The sequence below is a fragment of the Homo sapiens genome, chromosome 7 (genome assembly GCF_000001405.40).
Source record: "Homo sapiens chromosome 7, GRCh38.p14 Primary Assembly".
Taxonomy (NCBI): Eukaryota; Metazoa; Chordata; class Mammalia; order Primates; family Hominidae; genus Homo; species Homo sapiens.
Window position 1 is genome coordinate 43,107,545 of NC_000007.14, and position 22,903 is coordinate 43,130,447.

A 22,903-nucleotide genomic window follows, 5' to 3' on the forward strand; every position below is an offset into this window, starting at 1 on the left:
TCTCTGACACCACTCTCTTTGCTCCAGTCAAATTGAACTCTTCACCAAGTACATTCCCAAGTACATTCTGTTCTTTCTGTCTTCTGCTTTTTCATGTATGCTTTTCTTTCTTCTTCGGATGTCTTTTGGTCACCCAACAAACTTCTGTTCTTCATTCAAAGCTCTATTAATAGAGGCGTTTCTAGCCTCCCTAGCCATATTAGAGTGGTTGCTCCTCTCACACTGATAACATGTCCCTCTCTCAGCACCTGTATCATATTGTACTTACATGTTTAACTTGACCACAAGTTTAGTGTGATTGATATTTACACTGCCTATCATAAAGTAAAAGCTCATTAATAAATTTTTTAATTAATAAAATAAAAAATACGTGCAATAAATAGAAAGCATAGCTGGTGAAAGAAGGTAGAAAAAAGAAACAACAGGCATACAGATTGGAAAGCAAGAATAAAACATCCTCTATTCACAGACAACATAATTATCTACATTGAAAATTCCAAGAAATCTATACAAAAGCTACTAGAATGAATAAATGAGTTCAGCAAGGTCACAGGATACGTAAAAAATACACACACACACACACACACACACTAATTATTTTTTTTCTATTCTACCAGTGAATGAGTTTTTATGTTTTTTTATTTTCCATATTTTGTGGTGCCTTGACATCTTAGGGACTTTGCAGGCTTGGAAGAAACTGCCCCTCCCAGGGCTAGCTAATTCCTAGAGATGGCAAACAACTTGTCTGAGAGCCCACCATTCATATGTAAACCAACCAATCCAGAGTCCATGCCCACAACCACCTCCTTTGTCCAACTCACATAGCAAACCAATTTCCCTTGCCCTAAGTCTCCCCAGGGACAAGTACAGGACAACTAGAGACTACCTCTGTAGCCCACAGCCACTGAAATTATTGGAACTATCAAATCCTAGACTTGCTCAAACTGGCCTGCCCTGCCTGGCCATTCCGTACCACAGCATACAAAATAGAGGCTCTGAGCCATGCTCTCCCAGGCTTCTGCCTCCTGATTGACCCAGGAGCTCCCCCTGTGGCCCTGCGCGGTATGCCATGCCTCCTGTTTCTAGGGTTCTGTGAGTATAAACTTCTCCCTTCATGAGAAGCATTTCCATGTCTGTATGTCTGCATGTGCATACTTAATTAAAACAAATCCCAGGTACACTTTAATACAAAGTGAAATTCAAAATTAAAATCAATACCTTTTACAATAGTACCAAAAAAATGAAACTCTTAGAATCTACATGGAAACTCTTAGAATCTGTGTAGAATTTGCATACTGAAAACTTCAACTACTGATGAAATAAATCAAAGGAAACCTAAACAAATGCAGAGAAATGCTAAGTTTGTGGGTTGAAAGGTATTCAGAAATTGGAAGATTGTTAAAATGTCAGTTCTTCTGATATTCATCTATAAATTTAACACAACTGCAATCAAAATCCCAGTGGGAATTTTTTTGTAGATATTGACAACCATTTCTAAATTCATATAAAAAGGCAAAGAAATGAAAATAGCCAAAATAATGTTTAAAAAGGACAGAATTGGAGGGTTCACACTACCTGATTTTAAGGCAGTATACATCTACAAAATAGTGTACTATTTGTAAAACAATAGAAAGACAGATCAGAGGCACAAAACAGAGAATATAGAAAGAGACCCCTACAAATCTAACCAAGCGATTATTGAAAAGTTGCGAAAGCGATTCAATCAAGAAAGGATCTTTTCAATAAGTGGTGCTAGAAGAATTGGACATCCCATGTGCAAAAACAAGCCAACAAATAAAAAAGTCACCATCCATAGCTCACACCTAAAAAATAATAAGAATTCAAAATGAACCAAATACTTAAGTGTAAAATGTAAAATCTTGAAACTTATCAGCAAAACACAACTCTTTGTAACCTTGGTTAGTCAAAAGAGTTCTTAGATATACCAAAAGCATGATCTCTGAAAGAAAAAGTTGATACATTGAACTCCATCAACTTTAAAGACATTTACTCTGTGACAGAAACTACTAAGAGAATGAAAAGACAAGCCACACATGGGGAGGAAATATTCAGAAAACTTATCTGACAAAGACATTGTATCTAGAATACAGAAAGAACTCTCAAAAATGAACAATATAAAAGCAAACAACCCACTTAAAAATGAGCAAAAATTTTGAGCACTTTACTACAAATGATAGACGGATGGAAGAGAAGCACAAAAGTAGATGCTCACCATCATTAGTCATTAGGAAAGTCCAAATGACAATCTTGTATTATTGGCTACAATTTGCTCCTGTGCAGAGACTATGTGAGATAGCTTCAACAGCTCGGTCTTTTTCCTCCCCTAGTTATAGTGCGTTCACTTCCGACATTATGTTGAAGGCCTATCCCCAAAGATAAAGCCCCGGATTGGTTCAAGTTATCGTTTTCTCAGCATTGTAGGGACCATTTGTGAATGGTGCTCTGTTTGCTAATCTTTATCTGCATGTGGCCTGAGATGAGCAGGTGAGCAGGCATGTCACCCCCTCCCTGGGTCCTCCTGGGCCTCGAGTTACAAAAGGTGGAAGATTCGGTTGCATGGGCATTATGATAATACAGGTGTTTGTATATGCATCTCAAAACCTTCAACATTCACTTTACGCCATTATATAAGGTTAGTATTAGGAGGGACGCACTGGGACTGTGACTTATTATTTATAACAGTATTTTGAGTACATTAGAAACTTAATAAATATGACTACTAGGATGGCTTTAAGATTCATGCCATGTCTTTTCCTTTCTCCACCAAATACTCTTCTCTTTAAGGTTAGGGCAGCTGACATCTGTAAACTCCAGATTCAAGGTCTTCTGCTTGAAACAAGACTTAAGGAAATTACAGAACTAACATAGCCTTTTTGCTTTCTTCTGTAAAATAGGATCATGCTACCCAGACTACAGGGGGACTGTTAGGAATAACAAACAAAACAGGCCAGGCATGGTGGTTCACGTCTGTAATCCTAGCACTTTGGGGGGCTGAGGCAGGAGGATTGCTTGAGCTCAGGAGTTCAAGACCAGCCTGGGCAACTTGGCAAAACCCCATCTCCACTAAAAATACAAAAAACAAATTAGCCAGGCATGGTGGCACACACCTGTACTCCCAGGTACTCGGGAGGCTGAGGGGGGAGAGTTGCTTGAGCCTGGGAGGCGGAGGTTGCAGTGAATGGAGATTGCACCACTATACTCCACCCTGGGCATTGGAGTGAGACCCCTCACAAAAAATAAAAATAATAAAAATAAAAGGGGACAATACACAGGAGTCTGTATATGCTGCCATTGCACCTGACATGTAGAAGCTGCTCTACAAGGCTTCTTTATCTACTCAGGATGTGAAACTTTGTGTACTGCTATTTTAATATCTTTTGTCTTCAGTATAAAAAAAGCAACTCCTCAGGGGAGGATAAAGCACACCACAAGGATTGCTACATCAATAACCTCTATGAGAGATGTGGACTTGTCAAGTCATCTCCATGATGGATAGAACAGAGAGCAAACATCTCTGAGCCAAGTTGATGCTGATTCACTGAAAATAATGAGGTGAACATCCTGGCAATTAGTTGAGGTAAAAAAATTATCCTTTATTGTGGTTTGGTGACATTGTGCTAATTTAGAAACCATGGATGCTGGTTTATGTGAAAGTTTTTGTTTTCTTTCAAGTCTCTGGTTGGAAACATCACATGGTTGGTTGCTGTTGCTGTTTACTGCCACAGCCTGTTCAAGTCTATTCTCGGAGAGTTTTCTTCATATAGGAGTTGGTACTAATCCAAGTGTAAAATCCGGAGAAATGTGTGCACAGCTTTCTGTGTGGATTCTTAGCTAAGGTTTGAAAATGGTCTGCTTTGAGCTCATCTGACCAGAAGATCTGACTGCTGTCAGGCAAAGAAAAGGGTCTGTCAGGAAAGGACTGGGCACCCCAAGTGGAATACGGAAAGAGAAGGGCTGTGCCTCCTTGCAGAAAAGAGCACAGCTGGTGAAGCTGCCTTCACATCGTCCAAAGTTTCCAGTTCTGGAAAGTTCCAGTTGTAAGAGTGAAATCAATGCCAAGAGGCAGGTCAGTGGAATGAGAGGCACTGAGAAACTAGCCACTGTGGGTGGAAGGGGAAGGAGATTTGGTTTTGACAAGTCCGTACTCAGGTCTTCAGTAAGGAGTTCTGAAGTCAGGGTGAAGCCTTTGTTTATTCTAGAGGAGGCGGAGTTTGGGGTCTGGGAAAGAAGATAACTTCTCAGAAAGTGAAAAAAAGCTCATGTAGAGGATGCTGGGCAAAATAATGGGAAGGAATAAATCAGCATTGTAGAGAATGTGGTTGGATCATAAAATCCCAGGCTATAGAGATTATGTGCTCAAAGCCTCTGCATTTTATGTGAACACACACAAACCAAATGTCGACCAGATGCACAAAAATGTGCATACATGGAGCAGCCAACCACCAATAGTAACCAGCATTTCACTTCTCTTTGCATCTCAGTTGGCTGTACCTGGAAGGGTCTAGACTTTGCCTCCTTCTCGTTCTAGCATTCTGACACTGTGTGCAGTGTAATAGAAAACGCGGTTTGGGAGCTAGGTTTGCCCAACAATAGATATTCTGGGGTGATTTTCATCCTTTGCATTTGTCATTACGATGTTTTGTGTGCTTGTGCAAATACAGGACGGTTCCTGAAATGTGTCTCTGAGCGTTCTTAACTGTGTGTAAGGTAAGCGAGGAAAGTGTCTAAGACAGAGGCCAAGAACACCTGTCACAGGGTACCCGCCTAGAGTGTCTGTACCGCATCCTTTCTGCTACACTGTTTGCACACACACAAAAGGGCCGAGGAGCCAGGGTTGGTGTTGGATATGCCCAGTACGCGTGCTGGGTGTTGGAAGGATGGGGCCGGCGGTAACAAGAATCGATATATATTTACCGCGGGGGCGGGGGTGGGGGTGCGCGGAGGCTGCAGGGCGGGGCAGCGCTAATGAGAGCAAGCCCGGCTTGTGGTTGGTTCTGGAGTCTGGTACCCACAGAGGAGCAGGCAGGGAGGGAGGGGATGCAAGCGGGAGGATAAAGCGATGAAGTGTGCTGCGTTACCGCGCATCAGGCGCTGTTGTTGGAGCCGGAACACCGTGCGACTCTGACCGAACCGGCCCCCTCCTCGCGCACACACTCGCCGAGCCGCGCGCGCCCCTCCGCCGTGACAGTGGCCGTGGCCTCCGCTCTCTCGGGGCACCCGGCAGCCAGAGCGCAGCGAGAGCGGGCGGTCGCCAGGGTCCCCTCCCCAGCCAGTCCCAGGCGCCCGGTGCACTATGCGGGGCACGTGCGCCCCCCAGCTCTAATCTGCGCGCTGACAGGAGCATGATCTGTGCCCAGGCCAGGGCTGCCAAGGTAAGCGGGCGTAGCGCGGGGACACTGTCTGCCGCCCCTTCCCCCCCGCCCTTCTCTGGGCGGCTTCCCCGCCGCACGCGAGGCCCCGGCAGCGCCCTCCCTTCTCGGGGCCGAGATCCACCCTCCTCCCCACCCTCTCGCTTCTCCCGCGAGGTTCAATTGTCAGCCTGGGTCGCGCCGCCGCCCGGTCCGGGCCGGCATCCCCGGGTGGCGACCCCGGCTTGGGTACTGCAGGCGCACCCGGCCCTCCTGCGGGGTACGGAGAGAAACAAAGAAGCCCCCAAGCGGGTTCGCAGCGCCTCCCCCGCCCCTCAGCGCCCTCCCAGTGGCGAGGAGGTGTCAGGGGAGGGGGCGGAGAGACCTACGTAATCCCCCTTCCCAGCCCACACCCACCCCTTGTGAACCAAAGCTCTGGATTTGCGCTTCGCCTTGGGCTCGCTTTTGAACAATTGTGTCCCATGCAATGCCCGTGGTTAGCCCAGAGAGCGCCCAGAGCCTCCGCACGGGCTCGCCGGTGCTCGCTCGAGGGGCGCGTGGCCAGGTCCGGCCCTTGCTCCCATGGACGGGTGCAGGAGGGGAGGAGGCGCTGTGTGGGTGCTCCCCCAGCGCCTCCCTGTTACCGGCCGGCTGCGCCGCTCAGCCGGGCCTGCCACCTGAGTTTTAGCGGGAGCAGTCATGTCGCCTACCGTATTGCGACTTGCAGACAGGCAGGGAGGGAGCTGCCGGGGCGGGGAGGGGGGGGGAATGCGTCCGGTCCATTTTTGGCTGGAGGTGCGCTTCCTGCTACCCCCACGTTCCCGGGCGGTGACAATGCAGCAAAATCCGAGGGCTCAAACAATGTGGCCCCTCCATCCCCGGCTCCAGGGCATTCTGATTGCTCTGCCGCTTTGACGTCCCGGCCACTTGGCTGATTTTCAGAGCCATGATGCGCGGTGTCTCTGTCTTGCACACAGAGGCTGGGCACCATAACTTCTTCCCTGCCGAATTTCAGCGCGTAGGGGGAGCTGGCAGGGACACAGGCTGCAGAGATGCCCGGCTTCCTGTGGTTCCGGGCACAGCGCGCCTCAGTCTGCATTGGGCTGACACCAGAGAGCATGTGGGGATTTTCCTAGTTGCCGAAGAAGATATTATTTGACGTTGCTGTAGTTTTGTGCTTACTTCTCTTGGAATCTGCAGTGGTGCAATTCTCCCCTTGTTTTCCCCCCTTCTCTTTGAAAAGATATCAATGCTATGTTCAGCAGAAACGGATACAGCAAGAGCAGCATAGTTCAAAAATTGAGGGAGGCATCTTCTCTCTTTTCCTGGGATTTAAACGCGATTTAGGAGGGCAGATGCCCTACCCGAAAAGGCCAACCGTTAAAGACCCCGGCAGTGTTGTGGTCCAAGGCGTCTCAAAGCAGGTGGCCAGATCTGCGTTTCTCATCAGCAGACTCACTCCGGCTGTGGCTATTACGGTAATTCATTCTAGATTGGGGATTCATTTAAAAATGTGTGTTTTCCACTAAGAAGGGATTAGAGTCCACATGCCCACCCTGGTATGAATGTGTGTGCCTGTTTGGTAGAGAGATAGATTGTGGTAGAATTCCCTGTTGGTAGAATTCCCTGTTGCCTGTTCCCTCCGCTTGCTGCTTCCTCTGGAATGTGGCATTGGAAAAACAAAGCACTATTTTAATTCCTAGACCTCCAGGCAAATTGGCCGTTCTAGTGTTTTATTTAATAATCCACGTTCTGACTAATTCCACACTATAATCCCAGTCTAGTGCAGTTGGCTGCTTTGTGGAATGACAGTTCTCTTTTTTTTTGGAGTAGTTTTTTCATGAAGGCAAATTGCCTAAGTTTGTTTAGATTGTGACATTATTGACTTGATAGGGAGGTCACATCCGGAGCTGGAACAGCCCATCAATGTATCAATACAGAGGGACTGCAGCTCTGTTATTTGTGTATATAGCATCATTTGACTTGATTCCTTTTACACTCTGGCTTTTAAAGATGGATGTATTACAAGATCACTTTGAGCTTTACCTTCTATTATGCTTCCATCTGATATGATTGTTAACAAAAGAAATATTAAAAGGCCAGATGTGATATGGAAAGACAAGCCTGAGTCTCATTCCTCATGGTAAAGGAAGTTGGACTGGCTGGTTTCTATCGTTCTTTCTAGTTCCAGCATTCTGTGGTAACTGACAGAGGAGTAAGAAAAGTTACCCAGTGTTGGAAAGGCAAATAATTATAACGTGAACCATGCAAGCAAACCAAGGATTGACTGTAGAATCTGCGGCTTATTTTTATACCTTGCAGCTTTTAAAACCCAAGCGTCTGCATTTTCCCCATAAGTGAAATTACTCACCAACTCAAACAGGTCTTTTTTTTTTTTTTTTGTCCACTATAGCAAAACATTTGGTGGAGGGTTGGGGAAAAGAGAAGAAGATTGAATTAATTGGATAACAGGTGTTCTCCTTTTGTGGAGTTATTCATTCCAACCCCATCTTAGATAATTGAGAATTCACTTTTTCCAATCATTGGTTTTTGTTTGTTTCTAATGAGACACTCTAGATAGCTGTTTCATCCTATGCAGTAATTGACAATGGCATGAGACTTACTTTCTCTGATGTAATTTGGTGTTGCTCTCAAAACTTGCTAGCGCTGTTGCTTGTCACAAAAATGGGTGAAGCAATGATTGGTCTAAATAGGCAGGCAGGCAGTGTTTTCATGCGCTATGGTAATTTTTATAATTTAGGTATAGTCAAGGTATTTGTTGATTCATGCTTAGCCACACAATTTTCCGTAGTTGTGCACTCATTTGTTTTAAGTTACAATCAAAATAATATCCTGAAATTACAGTCCCTGCAAGGCATAATTAACCACTTCTTCTCCTGTTTTCCCATAGCCTTTTTGTTCATAGAGCTAAGATAGCACTTACAATATTGCAGTTATCTGAGTTGTAAATGTGCCACAGTCTCCTTATCTTAAATATGGGATGAGCTTCTTCAGAACAAGGACATGTTTATATTCATCTCTCCAGCACCTAGCAGTTTGCCTGGTACATCATGTGTTCTCAGAAATGTTTATTGAGTGGATTTCAGGTCATAAAAATGCCCTCTAATTGTATAGGCAGGAGGTAGGTAGGAATCCTTCACTTTGTGAGTCAGCTGGGGGAATCAGAGAGGTTATGTAAGATGCTTAAGGGGGAACCGAGAGCCAGGACTCAAATCCAGGCCTTCCACCACCCACCCTCAGTAAACAAAAAAACACGTAGAGAATGAGTTCAAATGCTGTAGGTTTTGGTTATTTATTTTTTTCCTTGAATGATCTGGATTATCCATTTTGACAAAATTTATCTGATAACTGCTCTGTTCTGTCTTGCTCTGGCCTTAGAAGGAAACATGGCCCAAGCACTTTAACCTCTAATCCACACTTAAACAGAAGACGTGAGCACCCTTCTGCCCACTTTCTCTCTAAGTCCTGGTTCTATCAACCAGAGCTTGCTAGGATGATGGACACGTCTAGGGAATGTCTACTCATTATTTGCTCAAGCAACATTGAACCACTGTAAGTGCTTCTGAAATGACCTACAGTTAGACCAGAGACAACCATCCTTCCTGGGCCAGCCAAGCTTGACTGAGTCTCCCAATGGCAGGTTTCTAGACTAACAGGTGTGACTTACAGACATCAAGACACCTGCTTCTCTCCCATTTACCTGCTTCCTTTTCCATCCTAAAAAACAGGACAAGCTACATTAGGAAACCAGGAAGTTGCAATACCCACATGTCCTCTCTGTAAAACAGCCGTTGGCACATTTGATGTTCACGGACTTTTAGAGAAAACAGTATGAAATGCTCTGTGGGGTTTTCTTCAGGTCACTTTTCCTCTTTGAGGGTTAGTTTCTTCTTCTTTAAGAGTAGAAAGTTGAATCAAGTAATCCCAAAGGTCACTTCTAACATCACCATTCTGTGATTATTTTTGTTGGTTTATTCAGTTGAGCAAGTTGAAAGGAGAAAAAGATTAGAAATAATTTAATTTGGCAATATGTAGAGAAGAAATAATTAAGGCTACATGGTGCAGCCTGTGGTTATCTGATAACTACTTTGAGCCTTCTGTTAAAACTATTCTTTATACATTTCTATAATCCTTTCTTATTTGTAAAACTAAATTTACTATATTAAGGGGAAAGATTTGTGGCATTTCTTGTTCCCAGTGAGGAATGCAGTGGTGGAAAAAGTATGCAATCTCCAAAATGTACAAAGTGTTTAGAATTTGGGGGTTTAATAGCCAAGGTTCCAAGCATTTTTATTCTCACCACTGAGTATGTTTCACAGCTGAATAACTCTTATGGTCAAAGTGTTCCCTGCAATTCATCCAACAAATTCCCCTTTCAGTTTCTCTCTGGTTCCTCATTTTGCTCTTTTTTTCCACTTCTTTAGCTCCACTCAACTTCCTATAACATCCCCCACATACATAAGCCATATGCCAGTAGTACACTGCCACCCCCCACCCGCCCCACCAAAGGCAGGAGTCAGAGCTTCACAACCTCCTTACTCAGCTCAATCTTTTCTACTTTCTGAGGTTTATTCATTACCATTGCTTTTCCAAGTTAAGACACAATGAGATATAGAAGCAGGTCGAATCTTTTAACGATATTGTTTATCGTTTACGTCTTTTTCTCACAGACTTTCTGACCACCATTTGGAACCTCAATGCCATGCATTTAGGTGTCTTAAAGCCTCTTTAAATATTTTAGGAAGCAAAGCAGCATATTAGCAATTTTATGTATCCCATCCCACAGTGTTTGGATGTGTGGGTATTGGTAAGTAGTTGTACTGTTCTGTGACATGGGCACTGAAAGGAGAATGATAATAATGCAATTACTTACTGGCAACATATGACAAAGATCACTAAGCTCCTAGGTCATCTGGATTCCCATAGCAACAAGTGGTATACACTGTTTGCATTATTTGTTCAGAACTGATACTTTTCCTGATTTATTGGTCTGAAGCTTGATGCATATGGAGGCCTGAAAAATAAGGATGTGGCATACAGACAGGCTCTCCTGGTGTTATCAGGCATCTATGCATGTGATATGCAGGGAGAATTTGGTGGATGGAACTTAAGCCGGTACCAGGGGGGCGGGGGAAGAGTTGGGAAAGGACGCCATCTGTGCCCATGATGACAAATGCCATCATGGAGACTTCATTCGGGGTCCCTTTTATATATTTAGTGAAGCAGATTTTCCATTTCACACTTTCTAGATATATTTGTATTGCACAGATGTCAGGGAAATATCATGTGTGTGAAAGAAAAAAAAAAGATCAAAATTCACATCCATGGCCAGGGATTGTAATTCAATCATTTTGTCCTGAAATTGACATCCATTTAACGTGCATGGATGTTCCCTGCTTTTGCTTTTGCTTTGGGGGTTCAAGTCAGAGCAGTTGGAGAAACATAAATCTCAGCCCTACACATTGTTAAAATTCAGAGATCTAGGTTAAGGGGGGAAAAGATGGGGAGAATAAAATTAAACATATAAGACCTTGCCATCAGTGCCGTCAGTACCAGAGCTGATGAAATCAATCAGCAAGTGATTCCTCATCCTCTTTCCTGTAACACACAGATGAGCTGAAGAAACCACAGGACGCAGTCAGTAAGTTTTTATCCTCAAAAGGACTTCTTTTTTTCTTTACCGTTATTCATAATTCCTTGTGCCATCAAAACTTAAAACTACTTAATGACGTTTTCCCTCTATTTTGAATATAAATTATTTTTGTAGAAATGAGCTTTTTGAAATTGGAAAAAAAAATCGTTTTGAGGATTGTTGCCAGCTTTATTTCCCCCTGCCTACCCCCAGCATTGTCCTTGGTGTCCCCTCTACATGACCGGGCATAGGACCTGCATATAAAGAGGATGATGATAAGGAAATAATTGGCATACAAATGGTACTGTGATGTATGACATTTATAAAACCGCTCCCTGACTCCACATCCCCCATGATGGATTTTCTGTTTCTTTTTAAAGAATATGCTTCAAAAAGGTTGTCCCACTGGCCTTCTTCACTCCCTCCATCTCAGCCTCTAAAGACATATTTTATTGTGACATATTTGATTTTGACAAACAGCACATTGAACATATATGAAATATATGAAGCAAAATATGACACACACCCACCATGCAGCCTGAGACCAGAAGATCACCATCTTATTTGAAGCTACTTTTGTGTTTCTGCCACCTCTCACCTTTTGCCTGTCTTGAGAGCACCTCGATCAGGTATCAGTCACTCGTTCCTGTCACTCCCCTCCCTGTTGTCATTAGGGTCACCAATGATCTCTACCTGGTGAAGTACAAGGGCACAGCTTTGCTGATCTGAGCAGCATTTCCCATGGGGCTGTGGGGGACCACTCTTTTCTTAAGCACCTGGCTTCTTCCAGGACACCAGATTCTCCTGGTGTTCCCGCAGCCTCTCTGGCTCTTCTCTCTCAGGCTCTTTGGATGGCCCCTGAGTTTTTATCCCGATTGATCTCAACTGAATTTTGACCTTTAAATGCGGGTACGGGGATTCCCCAGGCCTTGGCTCTCAGACTTCTTCCCTTCTTACTTAAATTCCTTCTCTCAACACTGTCTTCATGCTCATGATTCCAAGTTTATTTCGTCAGCCCTGACTCATTCCCAGAACTCCAGACTTGAAAATGCAACCGCCCAGCATCTCCCTTTGAATGGCACGTTAGCTTAAAATTAACATGTGCAAAATACAACCCCCGATTTTTGCTCCCTAAACGTGCTTCTCTTCTGGTGTCCTCCATCTCTCTCAGGGACAACTCTGTCCTTTCAGTTGTTCAGGTCAAATACCTGTGAGTCCCTCTGACTTTTTTCTCACCCAGATCCAGCTTTCAATAAATCTCTGTCCCTTCTCTCTCCCTCTCCATCCAGCACAGCCATCCCCGTCTAAGCGCTAGTAAGCTTTCCTAACTGGTTTTCTGTAGTCCTTGCCCATCTGCAGTCTGTTCCCTATACAGCAGCCCAAACGAGCCTTTAAAAGTGGAAGTCTTCTCATTCATTCATTCATTCAACAAATACTGCCTAGACATCTGCTGTGTGCCAGGCATTGGTTTAGGTGCTGGGATGTAGCAGGATCACAGTGCAAAACAGTCACAAGTCCTTGTCCTCCTGGAGTGGACATTGTGTTACTTCTTTGACCATAGCCCTGTTCAGGATGAAACCCAAACTCCTTACTTTGCCTACAGGGCTTGCCTTGCCACTCTCCGAGTCCCCAGTTGTCCTTGCTCTTCCTAGAACGTGCCAGGTACAAATACTGTTCCCTTGACCTGGAGGGACGGTCCCCCAGCCACCTGCATCCTGACCCCCTTTATCAGATATCACACCCTCAGAAAGGCTTATTCTGACCACACACAATGTGCTCTCTTCCATCTGCTTGTTTGCTTGCTTTTTCTTCATACCACTTAGCACCACGCAATTTGTTACATAGTTTCTGCTTATGTGCTATTCTCTGTCTCCCCTTCTAACTTGTAATCTCCATTAGAGCAGGAACCTATTTGTTTACCCAGTGCCTGGAAAAGTGTCTGGAACATATTAGACACCACACTGAATGTTTGCTGACTGACCGAATGATGTAACAGGTGCTTTCCTTAACTGAAATCCAACCTCAGAACTTTCTCTATGTCCACATTATATTGGATAAATCCCCTCTATTTATTTATTTATTTGTTTTATTTTTTGAGACAGGGTTTCACTCTGTAACCGAGGCTTGAGTGCAGTGGCATGATCTTGGCTCACTACAACCTCCGCCTCCCAGGCTCAAGTGATTTTTCTGCCTCAGCCTCCTGAGTAGCTGGGACTACAGGTGCACACCACCACACCCGGCTGATTTTTGTATTTTGTGCAGAGATGGGTTTTCACCATGTTGGCCAGGCTGGTCTGGAACTCCTGGCCTCGAGTGATCTGCAAATCTGAGTGATCTGTAATCCCAAAGTGCTGGGATTACAGGTGTGAGCCACCACGCCTGGGCAGATAAAACCCCCCTAAAAGCTGCTGGATTAGAGTTTAGATGATATTTTCAGGTCTCAGGATCCTCTGAGCATATATCTTCCCTTTTCCATGCACTATTTTTCCCTCCCCTACAAGGAGGTGGCTGGGGTTCTTCCTTCCTGCCTGGACATTTTGTTGGTCCTGAACTTCCGTGTTTTTCTCCTGGCTGGTGTTCTCTAACAGTTAAAGAGAGTGGCTAGCTTGAGCTTGTCTTTGCTTCCTCAGCACCCAGCAAGTAGACCCGGCAACTCAATTATTGTTGAGTTGAATCACTTAGTTGTTGTTATTGTTGCTGCCAGGACTTGATAAAAACTGTTCTTTGCTTCCTCTGGGCCACACTGACTTTGTCATCTTGAATGTGAGCCTGTCAGTCCTGTGTTCAAAGCTCTCAGGAGTGGCCAAAGTACGCACAATTCCCTAGGCTGGCATCGTCGGGCTGTAGGCCTTGGCCAGCTCATATCCCCATGCACTCTTTTGACCCTCTGTGGCAGCCAAGCAAATCATTTTCCCATTTCTCCCAACATGCTCTGTGCTTTTCCGTAGTTGTGTAAACATACAGTGATATGTAAACATATAGTGATATGTAAAATCACTATATTATACATATAGTGATATTTTATATATCACTATATGTATAATAAATGATGCTATTTTCTGCTCTTAGACTCCCCATCCCTCTGTAAATGTAACCATTTTTAAGATCTAACTTAAACCTTACCTCCTAGCAGAGTCCATCACTCAGTTTCCTAATAGGATATGATTTATCTCCCTACAGAATTCTCCTGGAATGAGTATCATTATTTGCTTATTCTTCACTCTCCTGTCTTTCAGCCTCCCTACTAAATGCTGAGCTCCTCTAGGTTAAGGGCTTGTCACACTTCTCTTAGTATTCCTGAAACTACTTGCCTCAGTATCTGCCTCAGCAGGTACTTCTTTCTCCGAATGTGAAATGAGCTCAAGGAACAACCTAAGAGTTGAGAAGGTCTGCATTTCGTTGCTTCTAGAATGCTATACGCCATGTTGTGTCCACAAAATGCGTACCCCAAAGGTAAGTAGAAAGTTAGAAGAGGTGCACTCCACAAGGACAGATTTTTATTTGTTTGTTGATTCTTCAAGGACAAAGAACAGTGCTCTTCACTCAGTAACCATTTGAAGAATGAATGAAGTACATAGCTGGCATCTTAAATTTCTAATACCCTTGTTCTATAAATGAGCAAAGCCGAGGACTGCAGAGCTTTCCCAGGTTCACAAGGTCAGAAGTAGAGCCCAGTTTTCTGCAGCGTGAATCCTGTCTTTCTCCTGATCTCCACCCCTGCCATGAATAGTGTCAGACCGGAGCGAGAATTGTCCCAGTAACTCTTTCCAGGTGATGCTCACTAGTGTTACTTTCTTACCAATATCTGAGGAGCTTCCTTCTTTAGGCAAGGTCTAATTTTTAGGTCATCTGAAAGAAGCAAGAGTAGAAATTGCAGAATTTCAAAGGACTCAGAGACCCAGAAAGGGGGGTTTATTGGCAGTGCTCCTCTCCTGCTTTAGAAACAACTTTTAACAGCAAGTAGCAAACTTTTTGATGAGACCTCTCTCATAAGAACTTTGCAAGCACTATCCATCCTGTTGTCGCAATAAAGTAAAATTTATCTTTCTTAGAAACATACATTCAGATCATGGTGTGACATCCTTGAGAAAAATAGCGGAAATTCACAAATTGTTATTTTCTCCTTTCTCCCAGGAAAGGAAAAAAATATCACTATATGTATAATAAATGTTAAGCTTCGAGATTCTAAAGAGAAATTTGACCAAGGGACTACTAAATCACAAATCTAAAAATAAGTCCTATATATCTATACACAAATATGTATAAAACTACATACACATAACATATATAAACACATGCATATAATTTTTAAAATTCTGGTTATTTTCAAATCATTTTCCGTTGCTTATTTATTCCGAAAACATTTCTTGAGCTATTATGTGAAAAGCATTTCGGTTCTTTTGTGTGTGAGATTTTTCCATCTAGACAAAAATCTGCTTATGGTTAAAGGTGAAAATGTCCAAAGACAAAGCAGAATTAAATCCCTCCCATGCAGAAACATCTAATTTGAGAAGGCAAAATGAAAAAGTTGTAGCCTTTAAGGGTGATTATTTTATTTTTTGCACTATTCATGGAGCATCTATTTTGTACCAGACGCTGGGCTGGGGGCCATTACCACGATGAATGAATCCACAGCACATTTCTTGTCTTTACAGAGTGAGCTCCTCAATTTTACAATATTGCTTCCGGAGGAGCTACTCACAGTTCGGTCATTAAACAGAACATTGCCCTTGTCAGGAGCTTAGAAATCATCGTGACATTCTTGGCTTAAACTTAATTTTACCAAAACTGAGTGTACCTGCCGTTGACCTTGGGTCCCTTAGGGCCAAGGCACTAGGTCTGCTTGCCGAGAGACCACTGCTGTAGGAACATGCTCTCCTGTGACCCTGCGCTTTGACATAAGTTGCCTTTTTCCAGGGGATCCAGAGAGTCTTCTGGAGCAGGGAGCACTTTCTGTCTAAATATTGCATATGGACTTTAATGAAAAGCTGTGTCCTTGCCCATCTGCAGTCTTTGCCCATTCTGAGGTTCAGATTTGGCCTGAAAGTCAAGTTTCTGTGGTTTTTGCCTGGTCAGGACCCAGGCAGAGTGAATGATCTGGCTTGGTGCACATAATTAGCAGGTGGATGAGGCCAGGGTGGCAGATGTTTCCAGACCACACTGGACATGAGCCCCAGCCCTCTTGCCTGCCTGATGCTGTGGAATAGTGGTACCATAGCCCTTCCAACCGGGTGGGCTGTGGGCTGGGAGTGGAGGCTGGAAGACCAGGCCCTCCTCTCCAGAAGTCTGTGTCCTGCTCTCAGTTAAACGGCACATATTGTCTTATTCTAGAATGTGTTTTAGTTTCTTGGAGAAAGTGTTTAATGAACCATTTAAGCTATATAGAGAAAGTTGAGAGATTATGGCAAGAGAGAGAAAACAAATCTAAACCCAAATTGTATCTACAGGTGTGGGAGTGATTGGGGGTGGGTAGGAACTGAAGGGAAGCATCAAGCTCTAAGATAGAAAACCTTCATTCTGTGCTCCTGACTCCGTCCTTTTTCAAGTGTTCATTTGTGTCTACTAAACGATGTAATCGACGCACTATTTTTATAGAAACATGAAACTTTGTGGTAGATATTTTTTTCTTCACTGTTAGAACTCCTGCCTTTGAAATTTCATTTTAGAGGCAAAAGAGAGTGAACGGCTTTGCTTTTACATTTAGCACATGTTGGTATAAATTCGCAAATAGCTTTTGAGGGATCCAGATATTTTATTTTTCAAATCTGTTTTTTCAAAGTGCTATTAGCAGGTGGAACTCATGACTTCAGGCAATTTTCAGGCAATGAGCTCAGTGAGATTTGAAAATTAGCTAAGCCATTTGTAGATTCATAGAATGCTGTCTGGATAAGGAACCTAAGCCATGGTCCCATTCAACCCACTCATTTTCCACACAGTGAAACACGTTGTGAGCACACATCTCCCAGGACCACAGAACTTATATTTGTTAAACCTGAAAGAGGAACCTGTCTCTGAGCTTGGGGCCTCATGCTCTGCAGCACTTTTTGCTAGCTCTTTTCAGGGGCTGTCCTCAGGGTGCAGGCTGGTGGCATCAACGATCGAGGTGCAAAGTCAGTGCTGGGATAGGGGACTGGGAGTAGCCAGGAGCTTACCCTGGTTGTGCCTTATCTTCAAGCCAATTATTAACAGTATTGCTAGTTCTTCACATTTTTCTAAGCAAACCAAAAGATTGTGTTTTTAAGATAAATTTTATAATTTTAAGATTTTTTTTCTCACTCAACTTAATGATTTTACAATACTCAGTGGGCCAAACCAAGTATAACTGTAAGTCTCCAATTTGCAACCTCTGCTGTAGGAAAACTGTGTTTTCAAGATGCCTTAGTTTGGGGTGTTATACCAAATACCATAGACTGAGTGACTTATAAACAACAGAAATTTATTTCTTACAGTTGTGGAGGCTGGAAATCCAACCCAGTGTGGTCGGGTTCTGTAAGAGCCCCCTTCTGGGTTGCAGGCTGCTGACTCCTTGCACCCTCGCTTGGTGGAAAGAGGGCTAGGGAGCATTCTGGGGCCTCTTTTATAAGGGAACTAATGCCATTCATGAGGGCTCCAGCCTCATGACCTATTACCTTCAAAGGCTCCTCCTCCAAGTATCATCACACTGGGAGTTAGGATTCCAACATGCGAATTTGAGGGGTGCAAACATTCAGTCTCTAACAGAGGATTTCTATGAATGGAAAAAGACCATGATCATGGCTTCGAATAACTAAAATCTGAATGTGGCAGAGGGGCTTGGCACCTCCTGACTTGCTCTGAGTCCAGAATGAAAAGTAGCGGGTAGAAGATTTTGATTCAATAACAATATATATTTTCTATTACTCAGACTTATTCAAGAAGAGTGAGGCATTGGTCGGGTGTGGTGGCTCACGCCTGTAATCCCAGCATTTTGGGAGGTCAAGGTGGGTGGATCACAAGGTCAGGAGTTCGAGACCAGCCTGGCCAATATGGTGAAACCTCGTCTGTACTAAAAATACAAAAAAAATTAGCCGGGCATGGTGTCACATGGCTGTAATCCCAGCTACTTGGGAGGCTAAGGCAGGAGAATTGCTTGAATCTGGGAGGCAGAGGTTGCAGTGAGCCGAGATCGTGCCACTGCACTCCAGCCTGGGTGACAGAGCGAGATTCTGTCTTAAAAAAAAAAAAAAAAAAAAAAAGAGTGAGGCATTAATACGAAAGTTGCCACTGAATGGAGCCAAGCGGCCTTTTGTAAGGGATGCTGGAAAGGTCTCTGCTGGATGGAGGCTGGTCCTGTCCCATCCTGGAGAAGTGAACTCATAACTTCCTCAGTCTAAGCTCAAGGAGACCTTGCTTTCTAACCTGGCTTTGTAGTCATCCTGAAAACCTCCAACTGCCTTAACATGCCATGGGAAATGGTCCAAAAGCTTTGGGGGACAAAATCCATGTAAATGCAAGGCGTGCGTGTATATGAGTTTGTTCTCACTTTTTTTTTTTTTTTTTTTTTTGGTTTTTACTCACCACTGTACTGACGAGGATCACTTTCCTATTTAAATGAAACCCTACCAGCTTGAGTCTCCTTGGATTCTTAGGGATTGCTCCTTCCCTTTTATAATTGTTCTATTTTCTCTTGTCCATAAAGCATTGTGCAAACCTTCTTCATCATCTATATCTCTTCCCCACCACTAGAAAAATTCCTCTCTTTACTTGATTTTTGCTACAACACCTTAGAAATGTTATTTTTAAAATATAACACATATATATCATTGTCTAAAGCAAGGGTCTGCAAGCTGAATTGGCTGGCCTTCTGTTTTCATAGATAAGGTTTTATTAGAACACAGTCATGCCAGTCATTTACATTGTGCTTAAAGCTACTGCCATGCTATAATGGCAGAGCTGACTAGTTAAGACAGAGACCATTAGACCCACAAAACCTTAAATGTTTACTAACTAGCCCTTTAAGAAAAAATTGACCTAACTGCTGATTTATATGAAAACAAGTATACAGGTATACCTTGTTTTATTGCATTTCACTTTATTGCACTTCCATAGATACTGCATTTTTCTTACAAATTGAAGATTTGGGCAACCCTGAGTCCAGCAAGTCTATCGGTGCCATTTTTTCCAACAGCATGTGCTCACTTAGTTTCCTTGTGTCACATTTTGGTAATTCTTATAATATTTTAAGCTTCTTTATTATGATATCTGTTATGGTGATCTCTGATCAGTGATCTTTGATGTTACTAATGTAATTGCTTTGGGACATCATGAACTGCACACATATAACATGGCGAACTCAATCAATAACTGTGGTGTGTGTTCTGACTCTTCCACCCATTGGCCATGCCCTCATCCTTCTTCCTTGCCTCGGGCCACCCTATTCCCTGAGACACAACAATATGGAAATTAGGCCAATAAATAACTTTACAACAGCCTTTAAGTGTTCAAGTGGAAGGGAGAGTCTCATGTCTCTCACTTGATATCAAAAGCTAGAAATGATCAAGCTTAGTGAGGACGGCATGTCAAAAGCCGAGACAAGTCAAAAGCTAAGCCTCTTGCACCAAACAGTTAGCCAAGTTGTTAATACAAAGGAAAAGTTCTTGGAGGAAATTAAAAGTGCTACTCCAATGAACTCCTGAATGATAAGAAAACAAACAGCTGGCCGGGCAAGGTAGCTCATGCCTGTAATCCCAGCACTTTGGGAGGCCGAGGCGGATAGATCACCTGAGGTCAGGGGTTTGAGGCCAGCCTGACCAACAAGGAGAAACCCCATCTCTACTAAAAATACAAAATTAGCCAGGTGTGGTGGCGCATGCCTGTAATCCCAGCTACTTGGGAGGCTGAAACAGGAGAATCGCTTGAACCTGGGAGGCAGAGGTTGCGGTAAGCCGAGATTGCACCACTGCACTCCAGCCTGGGCAACAAGAGTGAAACTCCATCTCAAAAAAAAAAAAAAAAAAAAAAAGGAAAACAAACAGCCTTCTTGCTGATATAAAGAAAGTTTTCATGGTTTTGGATAGAGGATCAAACCAGCCACACAGCATTCCTTTAAGCTAAAGCTTAATCCAGAGCAAGTCCCTAATTCTCTCCAATTCTATGAAGGCTGAGAGACATGAGCAAGCTGCAGAAGAAAAGTCTGAAGCTAGCAGAAGTTGGTTCATTAGGTTTAAGGAAAGACACTATCTTCAAACATAAAAGTACAAGATGAAGCAACAAGTGCTGATGGAGAAGCTGCAGCAAATTGTCCAGAAGATCCAGGTAAGATCATTGATGAAGGTGGCTACATTAAAAATTGATTTTCCTTTTTTTTTTTTAAAGACAAGGTCTTGCTCTGTCACTCAGACTGGCATGTAGTAGCATGATCACAGCTCACTGCAACCTCGGCTTCCTGGGCTCAAATGATCCTCCTGCTTCAGCTTCCTGAGTAGCAGGAACAACAGGTGCGCACCACCACATTGGGCTAATTTTTTGATTTTTATGTAGAGATGAGGTTTCACTATGTTACCCAGGCTGGGCTCGAACTGCTGGGCTCAAGCAATCCTCCCACCTCAGCCTCCCAAATTATTGGGATTACAGGCGTGAGCCACCGCACCTGGCCAAAAATAGATTTTCAATGCAGATAAAACAACCTTCTATTGGAAAAAGTTGCCATGTAGGATTTTCATAGCTAGAGAGAAGTCAGTGCCTGGCTTCAAATCTTCAAAAAATACATTGACTTGCTTGTTAGGGGCTAATGCAGCTGGTGACTAAGTTGAAGCCAATGCCCATTTACCATATGAAAAATCCTAGGGCCCTTAAGAATTATGCTAAATCTATTTTGCCTGTGCTCTGTAAATGGAACAATGAAGCTTGAATGGCAGCACATCTGTTTATAGCATGGTCTACTAAATATTTAAACCCACTTAGAAAAAAGATTCCATTCAAAATATTACTGCTCATTGACAATGCACTTGGTCACCCAAGAGCACTGGTGAAGATATACAAGGAGGTGAATGTTGTTTTCATGCCTGCCAAGATAACACATTCTGCAGCCCATGGATCTAGGAGTAATATTGACTTTCAAGTCTTATTATTTAAGAAATACATTTCTTGATGCTATAGCTGCTGTAGACAGTGATTCTTCTGCTGGATCTGGGTAGAGTCCATTGAAAACCTTCTGGAAAGGATTCACCATTTTAGATGCCATTAAGAACACTTGAGGTTCATGAGAAGAGGTCAGAATATCAACATTAACAGGACTTTGGAAGACATTGGTTGCAACCCTCATGGATGATTTTGAAGGGTTCAATACCTCAGTGGAGGAAGTCACTGCAGATGGAATGGAAATAACAACAGAACTAGAATTGGAAATGGAGCATGATGATGTGACTGATTGCTGCAATATCATGATAAAATTTTAACAGATGAGGAGTTGCTTCTTATGGATGAGCAAGGAAAGTGATTTCTTGAGATGAAATCTATTCCTGGTGAAGATACTGTGAACATTGTTGAAATGACAACGAAGGATTTAGAATATTACATAAACATAGTTGATAAAGCAGCAGCAGGGTTTAAGAGGATTGACTCCAATTTTGAAAGAAGTTCTATTATGGGTAAAATGCTATCAAACAGCATCACATGCTACAGAGAAATCTTTTGTGAAAGGAAGATTCAGTTGATGGGGCAGACTTCATTGTCTTATTCTAAGAAATTACCACGGTCACCCAACCTTCAGTAACCACCACCCTGATCAGTCAGCAGCCATCAACACTGAGGCAAGACACTCCACCAGCAAAAAGATTATGACTTACTGAAGGCCCAGATAGATAATTGTTTGCATTTCTTAGCATATTTTTGAAATTAAGGTGTGTGTATTATTTTTCTAGACATAATGCTATTGCACTGCTAATAGACTACAGTATAGTGTAAACATAACTTTTATGTGCACCAGAAAAGCAAAAAATTTGTATGATCCATTTTGTTGAGATAGTCACTTTATTGCAGTGGTCTGGAACTGAACCTGCAATATCTCTGAGGTATGCTTATATTAAATAGGTAATTGAAAAACAAAAACAAAACGGATAAAGGACAAAATAACCATCTGTAATGCAATGACTAGCTGGACAAACCACTGGTGTCTTAATTTCCTCTAACCGTATACAGTTGTCCCTTGGTATCCATGGGGGATTAGTTCCAGGACCTCCTGTGAATACCAAAATCCACAGATGCTCAAGTCGCTGGTATACGATGGTGTGGTACCTGCCCATAAGCTACATACATCCTCCTGTATACTTCAAATCATCTCAAGATTACTTATAATACCTAATACAATGTGCATGCTATGTAAATAGGGGTTATATTGTTTAGGGAGTAATGACAAGAAAAAGTCTGTACATGTTCATATAGATGCAGTTTTTTCTCAAATATTTTCAATCTGCAGTTGGTTGAATCTACAAATGCAGAACTTTTAGATTAGAAAGGCTGATTGTATACATTGCAATATGAAATCACACCATAAATACAATTTTTTTTAAGCTTTGACTTACATAATTCTAGGTGTGATTTTAAGCACTCAAAAACACCTATGTTCATTTAGCAATATATTAGATGCATTTTCTTCTCAGAGATTTTTTGACATTGTATAAGTGTATATTACAGGTTGAGTATCCCTTACCAAAATGCTTGGGCCTAGAGTGTTTCAAATTTTGAAATAGTTGCATATACACAATGAGGTATCTTGAGGCTGGAACCTAAATCTAAACGTGAAATTCATTTATGTTTCATGTACGCCTTATGCACATATCCTGAAGGTAATTATACAATATTTTTGATAATTTTATACATGATACAGTCTGTGTACATTGAACCGTCAGAAAGCAAGGGTGTC

General features: G+C 42.8%; 1 protein-coding gene and 1 long non-coding RNA gene across 12 annotated transcripts in view, besides 2 other annotated features; both read left to right on the forward strand.

The window, feature by feature from the left end:
• Nucleotides 343-857: an enhancer, noted in NCBI's record as "OCT4-NANOG-H3K27ac hESC enhancer chr7:43147486-43148000 (GRCh37/hg19 assembly coordinates)". NCBI's record gives its function as "activates a minimal SCP1, AML or CMV promoter by ChIP-STARR-seq in primed H9 embryonic stem cells {active_cell/tissue: H9 hESC(primed)}" and the evidence as "EXISTENCE:reporter gene assay evidence [ECO:0000049][PMID:30033119]".
• HECW1 (HECT, C2 and WW domain containing E3 ubiquitin protein ligase 1) overlaps nt 5,103-22,903 on the forward strand; it is a 453,355-nt gene continuing 435,554 nt past the window's right edge. For 4 of the 11 annotated variants that reach the window (NM_001287059.2, XM_006715670.4, XM_006715671.4 and 1 more), the window contains exon 1: nt 5,103-5,393. Coding sequence is in view for 8 of the 11 variants with exons in the window: in XM_006715670.4 (XP_006715733.1) it covers nt 5,364-5,393 (30 nt within the window). In the remaining 3 variants the exon portion in view is untranslated. Of the gene's footprint in view, nt 5,394-6,459; nt 6,848-22,903 lie in introns of those variants that run through there. The other 7 variants (XM_017011882.2, XM_017011887.2, XM_017011884.2 and 4 more) reach the window with 3 other exon arrangements.
• The window catches only part of HECW1-IT1 (HECW1 intronic transcript 1), a 45,292-nt gene continuing 32,740 nt past the window's right edge, over nt 10,352-22,903 (forward strand). Inside the window, exons 1-3 of the long non-coding RNA NR_135295.1 lie at nt 10,352-11,031; nt 11,403-11,651; nt 14,259-14,475. This is a non-coding gene — a long non-coding RNA (HECW1 intronic transcript 1). The remainder of the gene's footprint in view (nt 11,032-11,402; nt 11,652-14,258; nt 14,476-22,903) is intronic.
• Nucleotides 10,739-11,938: an enhancer, noted in NCBI's record as "BRD4-independent group 4 enhancer chr7:43157882-43159081 (GRCh37/hg19 assembly coordinates)". NCBI's record gives its function as "activates an origin of replication core promoter dependent on BRD2, P300/CBP, MED14 and CDK7 cofactors, and independent of BRD4, by STARR-seq in HCT116 cells {active_cell/tissue: HCT116}" and the evidence as "EXISTENCE:reporter gene assay evidence [ECO:0000049][PMID:35650434]".